The following is a 15,137-nucleotide window of genomic DNA, read 5'->3' as shown; positions in this document are numbered from 1 at the left end:
GAAAACATGTAACTTTCTTTTACTTATTATTTGTCTCATAATATTTTGATTTTGAAATTGCTAATGTACCTAGAATTTCACCAGGTAAATATTTTAAATATTTTTGTAAATTATTTTAAAATGAGAGTTGTTTCTCCTGATATTCATTTTTCATTCGCTTATATTTCTGGGAAGAGTGGTGATAATAAAAAAATTAAGTGTTTTATAATACACAAATCACTATGTACAGTGTACTTTTGTGAGTTTCATTTTTAAACATCACAAATATCGTAGGTTTATATGTCAGTATGTCTGCCTCTTATCATCTAAAATATTGGTTTATTATTTACATCATACTTTAAAAATGATGCTGAGATAAAAGCCATGGTTTCAGTTAGATAACCTCAAATTATTCCACTTAATGCAATTTTCATACCGGTGACATACTACGGACTTAGACTTTTGAATGTAAAGTTCTTACTATGGAGATATTACTTATAGATTTGATATTCCATGTTGCCTTTTGCAATATTGAAATTCTAGGTGTGTCTGACCTTTTCTGTCCTTGGAATGTTACAGTAATAGCAGATGTTATATTGATCACCACTAATTTAGGAGCAACACTTTGCTTCTCTTCATACTTTGATGTCATTATGTTTTTCTGCAAAGTAGTACTTTTTTCTTCACTTTCAGCTGTTGCTTTAGTTTTGTACTGTTCATTTGCTGATAAAAATATACCCCCACTGCTAAATAATATATCATTTTGTTTCGTTTACTAAATTCAAATTGAGAGAAAAATATTAGCTTCTTGATTACATTTAAATATAGCCATTAACTTGGATATCTTTGATGACATTCCAACATTTATTAATGAAAACCGAGGAAAAATAAAAGCATGTTAAATGGATAGCGTCTTCATTTTAAACATTAGGGTCTCTGGTTTTAAACTTGTGAAGTATAGGATTTGTTTTTAGTTTTAAGAGTTTTATTTTGTTCCTTATATAGTAAGGTGGTGATGAAGTTAAAATGTAATTACATATAAGCACTTGTTAATTTATGCTCTAGAAACTTCTGGATTTATGATTGTTAGTGGTATGGCTAAGGCCAAAATTTTTATGTAGAAAAGTGGTGGAAATTGTTTGTATTTTGTGCTAGAAATAGAAAACTGTAGTTTAAGGAAGGAAACAGGACAAAAAAAAGTAATTTGAATGCTTAAAAAGTTAATACCTTAGGGAGGGAGTATGAGATAATAGCTGGCCATCTGGATTCATAACTGTGGCTATGACTTAATTTCATTTCTGATGAATACTTCATTGGTATGTAACGAATATTCACCTTATATATTAGGAGTTTTTGAGATAAATATATGAAAACTCTGATATGAAACTGAAATTTGGCTCGTAAGTGGCAAAATTGACTTTAGATATTCTGGCAGGGAGAGGTTATATGGGCAAGTCTTGGAAAATGGGGAGGTGGGGGATGATCAGAGTTGGTATTTACACTTAGCATTGAAAATCTTGCAGGGAGTGGGTAGTGGGTACTTACTGGAGGAGGGAGCTCTGTGAGCAAAATCCTGGAGATGGGGAGAAAACACTGAGTGTGGTTGAGCCGCGTGGTGGGCTGTGATGTCGGGGTTGGGGGTGAGAAAACCTGGAAGAGGCTAGTTGGAACTAGAAGGGAGTTGAATTTGAAATTTACACTAAGAAATTTGTACTTAACTTGGTAGGTAGTGAGTTGTTATGGAAATATTGGAGCAGGACATGGCAGGAGAGGAAGTGCACTTGGGGAAACCTTATTGGGCAGTGTGTTTGTAGGGTGGATAGGAGTATAAAGAGCCTTGTTAAGAAATTATTTCAGCTGTGTAGAAGGATGAGAGCTAGGCTTTCTGGAGTAAAGATGTTGGGGGTAATAGAAGGGGACAGGTTTGAGATATTACAGAAAAAGCCTATGTAAGCGTCTATCTTTTGTATAAAAATTGATTTTGAAATAATCACAAATTTACAAAAAAGAAAGTATATTATAGAGAACTCCTAGCATCAAGGACATTCACTTACATAATGAGAATATAACCATTAAAATCCAGAAATTAGTATGGGTAAGTTACTGGCATCTACTCTTTTGCTGTTTGTCCCAATAATGCCTTTTATAGCAAAAGGATCCAGTTCAGAATTATGTATTGTGCTTAGTTGTCATGTCTCTTTAGTCTGGGATAGTTCCTCAGTCTTTTCTAGATTTCATGACTTGATACTGCTTTTGAAAATTAAAGGGCAGTTATTTGGTAGAAAGTCTTTCCATTGGGTTTTCTGGTATGTTTCCTCATGATTAGATTCAACAGATGTACCTTTGGCAGGAATATCATGGTCTCCCCAACCTTAACATCAGCTTTTGTACCACTGTCTCCCGCTGGAATGGAATGATAATGTAACAGAAAGACAGAAGGGCAGGATTCTACTCCCAGCTCTGTTTTGTGCATTCTTCTCATTGCATCCTGTCAGGTGGCATGTGATTTCTGTTTGGGTTATTACTATACTTAGACCACTTGATTCAGGTGCTGTTTGCAGGGTTTCTCCATGATAAAGTTACTCTTTTCCTTTTGCTATTAGAATATATTTTGTGGAAGGTACTTTGAAACTGTGTAAGCACCCCATTCTTCATCAGACTTTGTTTATTCAGATATTTATGTATATCAGCATGGCGTCATTGTTTTTTGTTTTGTGAAGTGAGTTACGTACATACTGTTACTGTCCTAATTTTTGATGGTCAGAATATTCCTGATTAAGCCAATGGAAGCCCATTGAGAGTGGTTTCTGTGTCCCTTTGCCTTGTCCCTATCATTCCTTGAGCACATCCTTGCTTTAGGCCCATCTTGTACTTTTCCTGACCCAGATCTGGAATTGGCCATTTCTTCAAGGAGGGTTCCCATCCCTGAAGACACTTTTCCTCTTTCTGATTACAGTCTAATGCCACATTCTGGGTCATAGGGACACCCCCCCTTTCTATGGCTGCCCTCCTTATCCCACCGAGGCACAGACTCCCGTGCTGGGCTGTCCTCACCCTGCTGGGGTTCGGACACCCTCCACTAGACCACACAAACACACAGGTGCCCTCCTGTCTCTGCTTGACTCTGACCTTCCACATCAGGTTTCTGAGCCACCCTTGGGCTTGATAGACCCAACTATAAGCCACCACAGTTGGCCACCCCCTTTCTTCACTGTGGATACCTACTTTGCTGTGTCTTATGTAATGATTTTAGGACTAAATTGTTAAGGAAGAGGAAGGGGAGGAGTTGATATTTGAGTAGAAATAGTAAAGTATGTGGAAAATCGGCAAAAACATCATGTTATGAGCTTAACTCCCATGGATAATGGTGAGTAAGAGAAATGAAGAGATCAGCCAGGCACAGTGTAATCCCAGCCTTTTGGGTGGCCAAGGTAGGCACATCACTTGAGGCCAGGAGTTTGAGACCAGCCTGGCCAACATGGTGAAACCCCATCTCTACTAAAAATACAAAAATTAGCAGGGCATGGTGATTTGTGTCTGTAATCCTAGCTACTCAGGAGGCTGAGACGCAAGAATCGCTTGAACGTGGGAGGTGGACGTTGCAGTGAACCGAGACCGTGTACTACACTTCAGCCTGGGTGACAGAGCGAGATTCTCTCTCAAAAAAAAAAAAGAAAAAGAAAAAGAAATGAAGAGGTCAATAATAGGTTTGGAGCAGAAGTACTGTTACTTTGGCTACATGAGTTTTAAGTGCCAGACCTACCTATGATTGGAAACATTCTTCATATAGGTGGCGATGTTGGTCTGGAGGTCAGGGAGGCCTCTTCATAGAAATTGCAATTGAGGGAGTCCCTGTGGATGCTGTTAGACTGGTGCAAAAGTAATTGTGGTTTTTGCTGTTAAAAGTAATATTACCCAGGGAGGGAATGTATGTAGTGACTCAAGTACAGTTTAAAGTGCATTTTGTTAGGAACTTGGAGGAATAGTGCCCCACTGAGAAGATGAACAACGCATCCTAATGAAGGAGACAGAATTATGTAGAGAACCAAGATCGTGCTTAAGTCATAGATGCCAAAGGGAAGAATCAGGTAGTCTTAGAATTTCCAGTAGAAGGGCTCCAAGACTATCTAGAAATCTGACCCACTATGGGCATGGATACTGAAACTAATGCCCAGAGAAACAGCATGGCTTCTCCAGTATCATACAAAGTAGCTAGTAACACAGCTGGGAATAGAATCCTGCCTTTTTGTCTTTGTTACCTTATCCTTTTCTTCCAGTGGGAGATAGTGGTTTTCTACCAGAGGGTTGGGAAGACCAGGAATAGAACCTAAGAGCCATTGACAGATGGGTGCTGGTGATTTTCAAGAAGGGATTGGATTGGATTGTGATTGGCTAAGGAGTAAATGAACATTGAAGAGGAGAACCTGGGGCATGGGGTGGAGGCACAATGCTTACTCTTGGGAGTATATTTGCTTTGTCATCTGTTTTGGTGACAGCAAAAGTGGTTAAATGGAGGAGATGGTAGCGCAAAGAAATGGCAGGTTCAGAGTAAGGATTTTGTTTGGCAGGTGAAATATGAAGAGGGCAATGGACTTGTGCTGAGACTGAAAATGTGAGAGAGACAAGAGGATTGATGAGGCAGTGTCCTGGGAAGGTGAGAATAGAAATGAGACTGCAGTCAGCCTCAGAGTTAAATATTTAACTGTGAGAGTTTTGGCACTTGCTGGTGACTGCCGTCACTATTTTACAGATATGAAAACTGAGACGGAGACAGTATTCGTGATTTGCCTAAGGCCCTATAGTGAAGGCAAATGAAGAAGCAGGTATTTGAGATAGAGAAGAAGAAAGCAGACTATCCTAAATAATAGGCAGCCAGATGGATCTTTTAAAAACGTAAATCAGATTATGTGGCTGATAGTTTAAAGCCCTCTGGTGGCTTCTCATTGCAAGCAGCAGAAAGTAAAATAATTTAGGGTCTGTAAGACACTAAATTACCAGGCCCCTGATTGCTATATTTAGTATCTGTTCCTCCTTGCTCATTCCCCACACTGACCTTTCTGTGGTTTCCACAAACCAAGCCCCCTTCCTTTTGGGGTCCTCTGTACTTACTGGTGCCTCTGCCAAGAAGGCTATGCCTCCTGATTTTGGTTTCCTGCCTCTTTCTTGTCACTTAGGATTAGTTCAAATGTCACCCTCCCAGAGAGGCCTTCCTTGATCTTCTTATTGAAAGTGGTCATCCCCTGCCTTCTAACACATCACCTTCTTTGTCTCTCTTCATAGCAGTACCTGTCAGAATGATCTTTCTTTACTTCATTTCTGCTAGTTAGCATGTAAGCCTCCTGAGAGAAGGACCTCATCTGGCCTGTTACTTGTACATTTTCCATACCTGAAACAGTGCCAGGTCTGTTGTTCATGTTCAGTAAATATTGAGAGAATGAATGGATGGATTGACTAGCAGAGGGGGTGGGTATATATCTGGCATGACTAAATATTGGTGATTATGTAATATTAATAAAATTATTAAATGACAGAGTTCTACTGAGTTCAGCAAAAAAAATTGTTTTGACTTCTGTCAGCATATTTTTAGAATTTTCCACAAAATAATTAACAAATACTGTTCTTCCTTTTTCTCATCTCAGTATAATACAGTAGTTGGTAATGATATATTCCAAGATAATTGATGACTTACACTCTTAGTCTGCGCAATGAGATTACTTATTTTTAATTCTTACTATAAAATTCACTCTTTTTGGTGTTCAGTTCTACATGTTTTGTGAAATGTGTAGTCTTGTAACCACCACCCAATTGAGATGCAGAAGAGTTCTATCATTCACTAAAATTCTCTTGGTCAACCCTTTTCCTCACTCCCAAACCGTAGTGACCACTGTATATGCCCTATTGGTATAATTTTGTTTTTTTTTTTTCTATGTTGTCTATAAACTCTATGTAGCCTTTGATTCTTGCTTCTTTCACTCAGTATAATGCACTTGAGATTCATCCATATTATTGCTTATTTCAGTAGTTTCTGTTTATTGCTGAGTACTATTCCATTTATGGCTATATCACATTTTATTCATCCATTTACCTGTTGGTAGACATTTGGCTTGTTTCCAGTTTTGGCTACTACAGTTAAAGCCAATATAAATATTTACATACAAATATCTGCATAGACATATGGTTTTTTTTGTTCAGTAAAAACCTAGGAGTGGAATCATTAGAATATACAATAGGGGTAATTTCAATTTTTCAGAGACTATCAAATTGTTTTACAAAGTGTTTGTACCATTTTAATATTCCCATCAGCAGTGTATTAGAGGCCCAGTTCATTACATCCTTTCCAACACTTGATAGTCTTTTTAAGCTTAGGCATTATAGTACATGTGTAGGGATATCTCATTGTGGTTTAAATTGGCATTTCCTAATATCTTAAAGACACCAAACATCTTCTCATGTGCTTATTTGCCATTCATATGCCTCCCTTTCATGCCTGCTTACTCTTGCCCATTTTTATTGTGTGTTTTTCATCTTTTTGAGTTCTGTTATCAATGTACCTTATTGTAAACTTTTTGATAGAAGACCTAGAACTAAGAGTACAATAGATATTTAAAATTCTGTATTGGTAGGCTGGGCGTGGTGGCTCACGCCTATAATCCTAGCACTTTGGGAGGCCTAGGTGGGCAGATTTTCTGAGGTCAGGAGTTTGAGACCAGTTTGGCCAACATGGTGAAACCCCGTCTCTACCAAAAATACAAACAAATATTAGCCAGGCGTAGTGGCGTGCAACTGTAATCCCAGCTACTTGGGAGGCTGAGGCAGGGGAAGGGGAATTGCTTGAACTAGGGAAGTGGAGGTTGCAGTGAGCTGAGATCGTGCCACTGCACTCGAGCCTGGGTGACAGAGACTCTGTTTCAAAAATAATAATAATAATAGGCAATTTTCAAATTATTTAGTCCCCACTCTGTCCTTAATGTGGGTGAACAAAAAAATGAATATGAAACAAACCAAATGTCCCCACTGTATTCCCATCTAGTTGGGGAAGATAGCTCACATGAGTGTATACAGCTTTTTTCCCCCCGCCAATTATGTGTTTGATTGTGTGATGGAGATAAAAGTTGTCACCAAAGATTAGAGAAGGAAGAGTTCCATGTGGGCTAGAATAGTCAAGGAGACCTTCATACAGGAGGTGAAGATTTCAGTAGATGTTTGAAGATTGGTAGTACTTGAGGGGAAGTAGGGAGAGTATTCAAGGAATAAGTAATAGCACAAGTCAAGTGCTAGGCAGGACAAATGAAACTTGCCTGGATGGGTTTAATGGTAGTTGGGGAAAACTAGATTATAGACATTGGTGAATGCTGAAATGAAGTTTTGGGCACTGTTAATATAGCACATTAAACTTTTTTTTTTTTTAATTCAGGAATGACATAAAAGGGGGTAGAAAGGTTAATCTGGTAAGCGAAGGAGAAAATAAGGATTGAGACAAAAGCACAGTGTAGAGGCTGTCATATTGGTAATTTAGGCAGATAGGAGCCCAACTGGTTGGGATGGTGAGCGAGAGGTAAATACTAGAGACAATTTAAAGGAAGAAATCATTGAATACAGGTTATTGGACCCAAAACCTGTTCCTTTTCCACTACATGACTAAACCATGTATGTTAACAGCACCACAAAAAGTAGATTGCCAAGGAGTATAGGAAAGAAAAACACAGGAGTTTATAGGAACAAGGAGAAACTTTAAGCAGAGTTATGGCTCTAATGTAAGAGAAGAGGAGCAGAATAGTTTTGTTTGAATGAAGGTAAAACTTGATGATTTCAGTACCAAAATGGAGTACCTTTTATTAGACTACAGAAAAAAATACCCCCAGGAAATGGAAACAGGAAGAGCCAACTACTGGTTTGGCAGAGTTGGAAAGCAAACTGGTGAAAGATTATGTAAATGAATTAGAAATAGTGACATATGGATTTTGATATGCATACAAGATCTAGGCTTGTTTGGAAGTCTATTAATTGTGTCCTCAAGTAACTGGTGTTTGAATTCACAGTACTCTTTCCAGAAGTAGAAATGTGCTTATTTTCTTCCATCACATGGTGAAGTTTGTATTTACTTAAAAAATATTTTTTCGATACGTTTGAAATTCTAGATGCAAAGTTTCAGGGTATAGAAATGGAATTGGGAGTAGATATTCTTTAGTTTATGCCAATTTGGATTCTCAGTATTTTTTTTTGAAATGGAAATTATATCCTGAGAGGCTTTTGTTCTTGGAAATTTGAGGTATGACTAAAGAATTTATGATCATATGATACAAAGGTGTTTTTTTTTTTCCTCAATTCCTCTGTCATTTTCATACCCAATCTGGTTAAGTATACATGTGAGCTATTCCCCTGAAACTTCTAAAAGCATTCTGGGCTTTCTATATGTGGTAGAAATGATAATTTCATTGACATATACCCTGTATTTTGGACTTGGTTGCTATGTGTAAGGTGAAAAATAGCATTTTTCCCCCTCTTAAGTACTGTTTTTTAGGGAACTGAAAAAATTAATGGATTCCTAGAGTAGAGGAAGGAGGAGTTATAAGCATAGCAACCTTTCATTGTGAAAACCTAAAGCTCCTACATTTGTATGACTTCTGAAACATTCAGATCCATGGGTGGCCACTGGATGTCTATTAGCAAATACCTCTATTTTTGAGCTAATTTTCATTTAACAAGCAAAAGATTTTTATGAGAGAGTATAATTTCATGAACTGTGCATTTCATGAACTGTGCATTTTTTGAAGACTGAATTTGTTGCCAGTACCTGAGAATGGAAGAGGTAAAGAATAGAATTCTGTGAACATGGCCTAGCCTCTGTGATTTCATAATGCTGAAGTATGCTTTTTTAAAAAGTTAAATTCTTGCCAATTTTACTGTAGCGGGAATAAATACATCTAGTATTCTGAGAGTTTTAATGAAACTAGACATAAAACAAGTTAAAATTAATGGGGAAAATGGCTAGATGTCCATGACTGTCAGAGTCAGTACATTGTCAGTATCCTCCAGAAATGTCACTGATATTAACCAAGCTGAGTTATTTCCAGGCGTTGAATCCATGAAGAATGATAAATGTTTTCTCATCATACTTATTCTTAGAATGTTGTGATACTTTTGATATTTCAGTTACTCGTCTTTAAAAGGGGAGTGCCCTTCCCTGGGCCTTGCCTAAGAGAAGAAAGAAAGACTATATTAAGACAGAAAACATGGACATTTTAAAGAGACGAATACACTGCTATGTGAAATACCAGTTCTACTCAGTAAACTCCCTGTAACCTATAACAAACAACAGTGCACATTAAAAGCACTTAATCCAAAAAGAGTTCTGAAGATGGATGGTGGTGATGGTTGTACAACAGTGTGAAAGTGCTTAATGCCACTTAACTTAATGGTGAATATGGCAAATTTTATGTATATTTTATTATAAAAAAGGTAGTTGAGTCCTAAAAATAGGGAGGTGCTACATTGTCTAATAAGTATAGTGTCATATATGTGCTCTGTTCAGTACTGATTTTCTTTCAGCAAGCATTTATATAAACACTTGACTTGGTCAAAGCCTAGTCCTGGGTGTATTAGTCTGTTCTTGTATTGCTGTAAAGAAATATCTGAAACTAGGTAATCTATAAAGAAAGGTAATTGGCTCGTACTTCTGCAGGCTGTACAGGAAGCATGGAGGCATCTGCTCGGCTTCTGAGGAGGCCTCAGGAAACTTGCAGCCATGGTGGAAGGTGAAAGGGGAGCCAGGCATTTTACATGGTTGGAGCAGGAGCAAGAGAAGGAGTGGGGAGCTGCTACACACTTTTGAATAACCAGATCTCATGAGAACCCTATCACAAGACAGCAGCAAGGGAATGGTGCTAAACCATTCATGAAGGATTCACCCCTGTGATTCAATCCCCTCCCACCAGGCTCCCATCTCCAACATTGGGGATTACAGTTTGACATGAGGTTTGGGTGGGGACAGAGATCCAAACTATGTCACTGGGTATGTGGTCAGAGTGGAAAATGAGGAAGTCCTCACTTTTAGGAACACCCAATCTAGATAACATTCAAGATCCGGTTACAAAGTAGGTTGTGGTAGGTGTTATTCTGGAGGTACCAAATAATGTTTTGAGAACATAGGGAGGGAACAGTTAGAAATTAAATACTAATTTCGTTAATAAAATTATGTGATAGTTATAAGTGAATGTAATATGATTAGTCAGTACTCTTGGTTTGCAAACAGCACAAGGACCCGTCTCATATTAGCTTAAAGAAAATAGAATCTCTTGGCTTAAACAAATGGGAATTCAGGAAGTACACCTCAGGCTTGGTTAGATCCTAGGTTTCGAATGGTGTCATCCTATAGTTTCTTTGTCTGCATCTACTAGGGCTTTACTTTTTTTATTCAGTTATATTTTCTGGCCAGCGTCACTCTGGGCTTTTATTTTCATTCGTTGTTCAGGTTAAAAGGAATAACCTTTCTCGACAGATTCTGATTGATCTGGCTTGGGTCACTCATCCAGCCTTAAGTAGGGGTGTTGCTTGTGTGCTCACGTGAGTGGACGTGTATGCATGTAGGTGGTGGGGGTTTGGTCTCACCCAACCCCATGTACTAAGAACACAGGAAGATGTGTCTTCAAAGGGTCTGGCCAAACAAAAACTGTACCCTACATCAGTTTCAAAAACTGATCATACAGTCATTGATTAATTATTCCCTATTTAAATAGGTTGGTCACATTGCTTTTCTAAGCATTATCATTAGTAAGACTTAATTATTATTGAAATGAACTGTCTGGTAATATTGTGAGCTGGTGGAGAACAGAAAATTAATGATTGGAAAGGGCAAAAGCAACATGTTTTTGGGAGGAAGGATCTGATAGTTTCTTTTACAAAGTACATTTACAGATGCTTTAATAATGAGAAAAATTAATGGTAATCAGAATGTTTTCCAAAACAGTACACTGCAGATTGATCATCAGTCACTGATATGTAAAGAATGTTGCCATTAATATTATTCTAAAAAGCTCATTAAATTGGTCCCACGAATAAATATGGCTCTAGACTATCCAGCTCATTATCATTATCCACCTAAGAGTACGTAAGAAGTATTTTATATCATGTCTTCTTTGGCCTTTTCACTGAGGGCCTGTGCCATTCTCGATGCAAATAATCTTTTCTGAATATGGGAGAATTACTAACAAATTTATACCTGCTCACCAGGACGCTATACATACTTGCACATGTAATTTTGCTTATAGCTTCAGAAGATTCGTGGGCCCTTCCTTCGCCAACCATTTCATGAACCCATGAGCCCCAGATTAAGAACTCTTTCTCTTGGTTGTTGTTAAAATATAACTACGTAGCAGGAAGAGGACCATTGTGATCCACTACCAATAGAACATTTATAGTTGAAAATGCAATTTGAGTTGTTTGTTCACCAGTGATGCTATGTTATGCATTTGTTTACATCTCATAACATGTGGTAAATATTTATGCAAGATGGCTAGCCAGACAAAAAGAAAAAAAAAAAGGAAAAACAACCGTGAAATAGAGAATGCAGGGTGACCCATGTAAACAGGCTAGAGATACATTTGAAAAAGATGAGGGTTAAAGAGTGTGTAGATGTTGGCAGGTAAAGAGATAGCATCCTCTAGGGAGGATATTATCAGGAGTCAGAGTAATCTTGGTAAATGGGAGAATATGTAAGAAATGAACATGTAGAAGAGTGGAAAGCCAGCTTTTAGGTCATACTTCCACTTGCTCATCATATGGCCTTGAGCAAGTTACCTATCCTCTCTAAGAATGAGTTTCCTTCCACCTCTGTAAAATAGTGACACTAACAGTCCTTCCTCCTATGCTATTGGGAAATTTTCTGAGCTAATCTATGTAAAGTACTGGCATGTAGAGAGTGCTCAATACAAATCTTAGTTCTTATTATTGTTGATTGTTATTAGTTTCAATTAAAATTGAAATAGAGGAATAGGAACAAATAGGAACTACAATGGGTAAATAATTACTCATATGAGAGTATGACCTAAGAGATTCCATTTTGAAATGAATTAACAATGTAGTATTAATAAATTCAACCTCTAACATTATTGTAGAGAGAGGAAATTCTTCTAGTTCTTTGTGAGAACTTAATTGAGAACTGTATTCTCTGAACTTCAAAAATAGAGATTATCATGAAGATATCTTAGTGATTTTTAAACTCTTTTTTTAGAGCAATACAAATGAAGATTAACATTTACATATATCACATGCTCCATGGTGGTTTGATTGAAAAGCATTGTGTGGGTATGTGTGTGTGGGCAGTAAAGCAAATAGCACAAGTTTTGTTTTTGTGATATTCATAAAAATCAATACTCAGCATAGAAATATGACTCAGTAAGAATTGCTTATTATGGACTATAACATAGATAAGATAGGCTGCACAGTGATGTACTGTGATGGTTTTCATCTCCGCCTCTTTTCTCACTTGTGAACACCATCAGAATGTAAACGAGAGTGGCTTTATTATAGGAAGAATCATGGACCCTTCCTGTGTTTCTGTTTTAACAGTATGTCATTCACAAACATCAATATTATTAACAAATTACTTGGCATACAACTCAAAACTGATCATGCCCTGTTGTCTAGTGTTCTGATTATAGGGACCTGTGCTTTAGAGGAAAGCCTGAGAATCCAGTAAAAATGTCAGAAATCTCTCCCTCTTCCCCACACATTAAACGTCACTAAATATATAATGCTATTCAAATATAAGCACTGTTAAGCAGGTGATTGCAAAATATATAGTATCTTCTTTGGACAACAGAAATGAAAACAAAAGAAACCCTGTTAGGGATTTAAATCAGCTATGAAAAATCTGCTCATTTTATATTATTGTTAAACACTGGGCTGGAATTATTGTTTTGGGAAAAGGCCCATGAGAGTTTTTGCTCTGTGGGTTTTTAAAGGTAAGAATAAATTTCGTGTTTGAGATGTTTTTGATGTGCCTGTAACCAGAATAGAAGTGTCTTAGATTATAACTTTCTCTCAGATTGAGTAATTCTGTTGTAATAAGTCAGCATATGTTGCCATCTAGTCTAAAAACTGCATGAAGATAAAAACATATTATATAAAACCATCTATAGTATCAAGTCTTTACAATCTCACTATGCTTAAGATATAATGCCAACACCATACACTAGATAATTTCCAGATGGTTTAAAGAGAACCTCAATTGAGAAAAACACTGAGTTGAACACATATCTGACTCTTGGATAGAGAAGTCATTATAAGTCTTTATAAGAAGAGAGCGGTAGAAGGAAGTACGTGTGTGCACGCATGCATACACACATGCATACATACACTGAACATTTTGATTATATAAAAATTCAAAATTCCCATATGCCAAACAAAATTAAGACAAAATTTGGGAAATGATGAGTAGGTTGATATCTCCATAATAAGAGCTAATACTTATCAATAAGAAGACCATGAAGACTTCCAAGAGAGGAGGGAAAAAACAAGGAAAAGACATGAACAGGCAGCTCATAGAAAAACAAATACAGGCCAGGTGCGGTGGCTCACGCCTGTAATCCCAGCACTTTGCGAGGCGGAGGCGGGTGGATCACCTGAGGTCAGCAGTTCGAGACCAGCCTGGCCAACATGGTGAAACCCCGTCTCTACTAAAAATACAAAAAATTAGCTGGGCATGGTGGCAGGCACCTGTTATCCCAGCTACTCAGGAGGCTGAGGCAGGAGAATCACTTGAACCCAGGAGATAGAGGTTGCAGTGAGCCAAGATTGTGCCATTGCACTCCAGCCTGGGCAACAAGAGCAAAACTTCATCTCAAAAAAAAAGAAAAAAAAAGCAAATACATATGGAGTGTATGAACTTCTAAACTGTTTAATCATGCTACTAAATAGAGAAATAGAAGTGAAAGCAACAATTTGGTATCATTTTAAATTGGATTTTCAGAAAAAGCAAATGGTGGATAGGGAGCATAGAGACCATCGCTCTTGGATGGCATCCAGTGGAGAGTAGAAAGAGACACAAGTAATTTGGCAGCATGCACTATCAGAAGTAGTGTAACTTGATTCCAGAGCATGGACTCTTCAGCCAGGTGTCCTCAGTTTTACCACTTTATCAGCTGTGTGATCTTAGGCAAATTATTTATTAACCTTTTGGTGCCTCAGTGTTCTCATCTGTAAAATGGAGATGATAGAATGTACCAAACAGTATTGTTATAAGGACTGAGTTAGTTAGAATATGTAAAGTGCTTAGAAAAGTGCTTGTCCCATAGTAAGTCCTACATAAATGTATTTGCTATATTATTATTATCATTGTCTTTATATACCTCAAAAGATCCAGTTTCTAGGAGTGTGTCATCAGGAAGTTGTTATACATATGGAAAAAGATTTATGTATGATGATGTTAATTTAGCATAATTTACAAAAATTTAAATAACTTTTTTCCCAGTGAATTGGCGATTAGCCAAATCTTGGTAAACTTATTTTTTTCTTATTATGATATAAAAATGCAGCTATGTCTATGAAGAAAATTTATAGGAAATCATTACAATTTATTTTTTATATTTAATATTATGATATGCAGCTCTATAGACAGAATTTGTGTCTGCTCAGTTACGTATGTGTATATTTTATTCTCAGTGGGAAGAAATGCATGTATTTTTTTCTTAGTGGAAGAAAATGCCTCGAAATCAGTGGTGTTTGTCTATGAGTAATAGGATTACTTGCTTTGTTTATTTTTCTTTTTGTATTTACCAAATTTTCTACAATGAGAATGTATTGTTTCTAGGACGAAAAATTATTAAAAGAGCAGCAGTAATGATTTTATTTGAGAGTGTAATAAATCTCTCACATGTAAGAACAAGATCATCTTTGCCTCCAGATGGCACTACCATTTTCACAGAGAAGTAGAGAGTTCTGGGCTGATGAGCATTTTGTTCAGTTAGGATCTAGGCTTCATGGATACATTTGTCTTGCTTCCTAAACCAGCCCTAGACAGACGGGTGGAGGGAGGCATGGACCCTGCACATGCCCCCTGAGAATGCTGCTTTTTTTCTTGCAGGTTTTTGCCTGCTTCTAGATTCTTTAAAGTTATGGGGCCATTTGTTGTAACATCTATTAAAACCACTTGAGAGCAA

At 37.3% G+C, this 15,137-nt stretch overlaps 1 protein-coding gene across 10 annotated transcripts in view, besides 1 other annotated feature; it reads left to right on the top strand.

Moving 5' to 3' along the window:
- The window catches only part of NR3C2 (nuclear receptor subfamily 3 group C member 2), a 366,559-nt gene that overhangs the window by 14,709 nt on the left and 336,713 nt on the right, over positions 1 to 15,137 (top strand). The gene's annotated exons all lie outside the window — the stretch shown is intronic.
- Positions 9,950 to 10,150: a silencer, noted in NCBI's record as "peak5133 fragment used in MPRA reporter construct". NCBI's record gives its function as "represses an SCP1 promoter by STARR-seq MPRAs in K562 erythroleukemia cells {active_cell/tissue: K562}" and the evidence as "EXISTENCE:reporter gene assay evidence [ECO:0000049][PMID:32103011]".

This window comes from Homo sapiens, chromosome 4 (assembly GCF_000001405.40).
Source record: "Homo sapiens chromosome 4, GRCh38.p14 Primary Assembly".
NCBI lineage: Eukaryota > Metazoa > Chordata > Mammalia > Primates > Hominidae > Homo > Homo sapiens.
This window is presented reverse-complemented; position numbering and strand designations above follow the sequence as displayed.